At 41.6% G+C, this 4,989-nt stretch overlaps 1 pseudogene; it reads right to left on the bottom strand.

The window, feature by feature from the left end:
- On the bottom strand, positions 3,185 to 3,474 carry RN7SL643P (RNA, 7SL, cytoplasmic 643, pseudogene; annotated as a pseudogene).

The raw sequence follows: 4,989 nt of genomic DNA, 5'->3' as shown, positions 1-4,989 counted from the left end.
GTTGTTCTTAACTCAGATGCTGGCCTTTCACTTAAATCTATTGAATATTTCATATTAGAATAAGAACATCATTCTTTTGAATACTGAATCTGTCGTCTGATGTTTTCTATATTCCCCAGTTAGAAGACATCTTCAAATTTGTTACTTATGTCCTGTCTTCATCCAAATCATTGATGAAATGTTAAATGAAGCAAAGCCATGAATATATTTCTAAACCATGAATAAATTATTTGACATTTTTTCCCATCTGTCAGCCCATTGGGGATCTACTTGGGCTTATTGCTAATATTGTCCTGAAAGTCTGCATTTCTAACAAGCCCATGGGTCAGTGGTGCTGGTTTGCAGATCACACTTTGAGAAGTAAGAATGATCAGTTGGGTAGTAATGAAATTCACATGTACCTTAAAGCTCCCTATGTCTGCAGCCCTCTGGTGCTATATCTGGAAGAAAGCCACATCACTCTTTTAATAGGAGGGAAGCATAGATCCAGAGCATTGATTCTCAACCTTGCTTATACATTTAAAACACCTAATAAATATTTAAAAACAACACCCAGAGATCCCTGTTTTTAAAAAGCTGACCAGGTGATTCTGATGCACAGTGAAGATTAAGAACTACTGCGGTAAACCTAAATGCATAGCATGATAGCAAATATTGCACTTATAAATAATTCACATTGCCTTTGTTTCTAATTTCACTTAGAAAGGGAAAAGAACCACAAAACAAAAATCGTGACTATTGTGTAGAAAGGCTGGTGCTACAGCTGAAAAAATACAAATCAAGATTCTGATGGGAAGTACACAGGGATTTGAACTAAATTGAGCCACCTGAACCCAAAATCAAATTGGAAATCTCATCAGCATAATTTACCCAATATGATTTCCAAGGCTTCAGGTTAAGTTCTTCAATAATCAACTTAGGAAAGTGTTAGAGGTGACATACATCCCAACTAGAATTGCCTAAGTCTCAACAGACCCAGAGGCCATCAGTCAGAAAAATTTAGGCACACAATCTTTGGAGGCATAGGAGTGGAGAAAGCAATCATCAATTTTTCTTAGTGTTAGCTCCATTACTTCAGAGCAGGACAGGTCAGTCTACATTCAATTTAGGCTGGAAGACTTTGTAAACAATCAAAGGCTGAAAAGTGTCAGTACTTACAGAGTCCTGATGTTAAAATACCATCAATGACTTCAATTATGTCTTTTCTTCCACCATCTGGACAGGACAGTAAATTGATTGGGGTTGGCTGCTGGCTGCATTTCATAGAACAACAGAAAATGCACTGAAGCCTGTGAAAGTGCAATTTTCTTTGTTATGACAACAAGATGGCACAAGGCACATGAAGAGGCAGTTGACCTTGCCATAGCTCTCTGGGTCTCCTTGGGCTGCTTCTTGTGCATGACTGTCTATGGTGAAAGCATGTGAGAAGCCCATGGAAGTCTCTGCTGGGCTTTATTTCTGTGTTACACATTACAATGGGCAGGGCTGGCTCCTTATAAGTAGATGAGATCCAAACATCATGACACAGAAAAGACAGAGAAGGAATGGAAATCTAGAGACCTGGACTTACTTAGACCTAGATCTACTGCCTAGTTTGAGAATGTCAGCACTTCTCAATCAGGTTCTGCTTTTGTAAAATGAAATAAGTAGAAGCCTTTTTGGCCCTAGCATGACATGAGTTCTAATATTAATAATAATGGTAACAATAATTAAGCTAACAATTATTAAATACTTACTATGTGCTAGAAACTACTTTTTTTTTTTTTGGTAGAGATGGGATATCATTGTGTTGCCAGGCTGGTCTCAATCCCCTGGTCTCAATAAATCCTCCCACCTTGACCTCTCAAAATGCTAGGATTATAAGTGTGAACTTCTGTGCCCAACCTATTCTAAATACTATATGGGTATTCACTTACTCAACCATGTTTAGTAGATACCATTTTATGCCAATTTTATAAATGGGAAAACATGGTTCACAGAGGTTAAATGACTTACTCAAAGCCATACAACTCATAGGTAAAAGAGAGACAAGATTTTAACCCAATAACCCAATCTCAGAACCTGAGCCCTTAGCCACTGCATTCATTTTCTCATGCTGATATTTGCATTTACCATTATCTGAACATGGAATTGTGAAAAAAAACTTCCACTTATGATCATATAAAATTCTCTAACTATAGCTAGATAGCATGAGCCCAATTGAGCAAGAAAAGAGGCAGAATTCAGCAAAGGAATCAGCTAAGTTCCTCAATAGAATTGTTTGTTTCCATAGCTCCCTCTCTGTTCAGCTTTCCACCCAGCTCTCTCATGGCAGCTGCTGTCTGATATCACTGATATTCTTCTTTCACCTTCTCTTCATTGCTTCCCTTTCACTCAGCAGGCTTCTCTTCACTCTTTTCTTTTCATTATGGATTTCATGCTCTGTCACATCAACTATTGTCTTACCAACTCCTTTGCCTGTTTTCTTTCCATTGACTCATCTAGGAAAAAAACCCAACCCTCAATGAATCCACGTTCCTAGTTCTTTGAATCCATAGTAGGCTGATGGAGAAAAATCACACAATTTCCTAGATGAGCTTCACTCAAAAATCACAAGCGCCGACTTGATCAGCGCCCTTTGTGCCACAGGCAAAATTTCTATCAATCCCTAATCAACCATTCCTCCATTCACTGAAGGAACTATTTCAGATCTTCTTTACTTTTCACAGCTCTAATTCTGCTTCTTTACCCTTGTCCACAGCAGACAGTCTCACTTCATTCTCAGAGAATATAGAATCCATTAGACTGTACCTTTCTCAACTCCTAGACTAAATCTGCAAATTCATCTGCATCCACACCCACTTTCCTCATTTCCTTCCCTTCAGGAAAATAATGAGTCTCTTTCCCTATGTAACATTAATTCTGCACAGTGTGCTAGTGCCCTGAATTTTGTCTTCCTACTTTCTTGAGGACATGGATCTTTCAGGTACCTACCTCCTTTCCCTGTATCTTCCATATTTCACTCTCTAATGGCTCCTTTCCACTGGCATTTAAACATGCTCAAGTGTGCTCATCTCAAGAGCAGATGAGGAAATGCTCCATCCCTCTATCAAATATTGAATTCCTTAGTCTTAGTCATCCCTCCACTCCTCTTCCTCCTCCTTTTCTTCATTTTTGTCTTCATCTTCATCTTGTTCTGTTTTTTAGAGATGGGGTCTTGCTATGTTGCCCAGGCTGGAGTGCAGTGGCTATTCACAGGCCCAATCTTACTACTAATCAGCAAAGGAGTTTTGACCTGCTCTGTTTCTGACCTGCCTAAGGAGGTTCACCCCTCCTAAGGCAACCTGGTGGTTCTCCGCTTTGGGGAGGTCACCATATTGATGCCAAACACCTGATTGGTATAGCATACTAGAGCCCAGAACTCCTGGGCTCCAGCCATTCTCTCCCTTCAACCTCTCCAGTAGCTGGGACTACATTTGCACCCACTGCGCCTGGACAAACTTCTTGACAGAATTATCCTCCTTTGTTGTTCCCACATTCTTTTTCCTACCTATTCCTTCTCACTGCAAAATGTCTTCTGATTTATTTATTCTTTTCCTTTTCAAGTTTAAAACATGTATTTAAAATATAATTTACAAAAGCTTTATATGCTGACTCAGGAGCCCACAGTGCAGGGTGAGGTGAGGTGGGCAGCTGCTTACTATACCAGCAGAGTAAGACTGCAAGGTGTATAGTGAACCATCAGCACTTCTGGCCTCCCTCCAATGCCCTCTTTTCAGACATCCAAGGGGTCGATGTGCACCTCTGGGATAACACGACCAGAAAACAGGACCCCAGAGGTTTCTTGAGTCTCTGCTTACCAGAAAAGCTGAGTGTGTAGCCCTGCCAACCCATCCCTGAGCAGTGTATCCTTAGATAGGCCAGAGCAGGGTATGGTGGATTCTGGAAGGGGCTTATGGTAGCAGATGTAGTTTTATTTCCCACATATAGGTGGAGATCACCCTGATTGAGTGGGCTGAGAAGGATTGGTCACCAGACCTGGACCACCAGCTCCTTTGCTTATAGGCTGACATCAGAACAGTGGCTCCTGGGAATCAGTTAGCCTGAAGGTCTGAGGCCTGGCTCGTGGGGTTAGAGAGGAGCTGGGGAAAAGGGACAGCAGCATGAAGGCAAATAAAGGGGTGGTAGCCTTAGGCTTCTGCCCCCCATCCCCTTGGAGTTTTCTAAGCTGACGTCTGCAACTTACTAAAAAAAAAAAAAAGAAAGAAAAAGAAAGAAAATTATAAAAGGAAAGAAAAAAAAGTTACAGACTACCACCTCAAGAAAACACACATACAAACACATACACACACACACACAAAATTGAAACTATTTCATCATCTCCCCTCCCACCTCCTACAAAAACAATAGTTTTATCTTTTCTTTTAAAATTTTTGCCTGCAACTTCTCTATCTGGGAAGTCCAGGGAATTACTGCTGGTGGGTGTTGACAGGCACATAGTGGGCAAAACCCCATCTTTGGCCAGAGGGAGATGGGTGTACTAGTCCCTGCCCCATTGTCAATCCGCAGACACCCAACAGCCAGCCTTCTCTTTGGCTCCCTCTAGAGTGGTGGGAGCAAGGCAAAAACAGGTGGTCCCAACTGCTGAGCCATCAGCACTGCTGGCCTTTCCACCTGGTCTACTTCAGCACACTTCTCCAATTGAAATGACAGTCTCGTCTTGGGCCAGAAACTACTCTTACATGAGGGATGGACATTATACATTTAAGATGTGGACACTTGGTCAGTGCAGTGGAACCATAAAGATAGCAGCCAACTTTTTTCCTTGCCCAATCCTGGGGGTCATGCCCCTTCTTACTGACTGAAACTCTGTTCCAGCTCTGCTCATGAACAGTTCCTGGCTTCACACAGTTATAAGGCTGTCCAATGGACTAGTAACTGACTCAACTGGTAGCTGGCCTTTCCTCCTAAGGGGAAGATGTTGTGGAACATGGTTTGCTGGTTTTGGCT

The sequence above is a fragment of the Homo sapiens genome, chromosome 6, assembly GCF_000001405.40.
Source record: "Homo sapiens chromosome 6, GRCh38.p14 Primary Assembly".
Classification (NCBI taxonomy): Eukaryota; Metazoa; Chordata; class Mammalia; order Primates; family Hominidae; genus Homo; species Homo sapiens.
The sequence above is the reverse complement of the archived record's forward strand: the minus strand, read 5'-3'. Positions and strand labels throughout refer to the sequence as shown.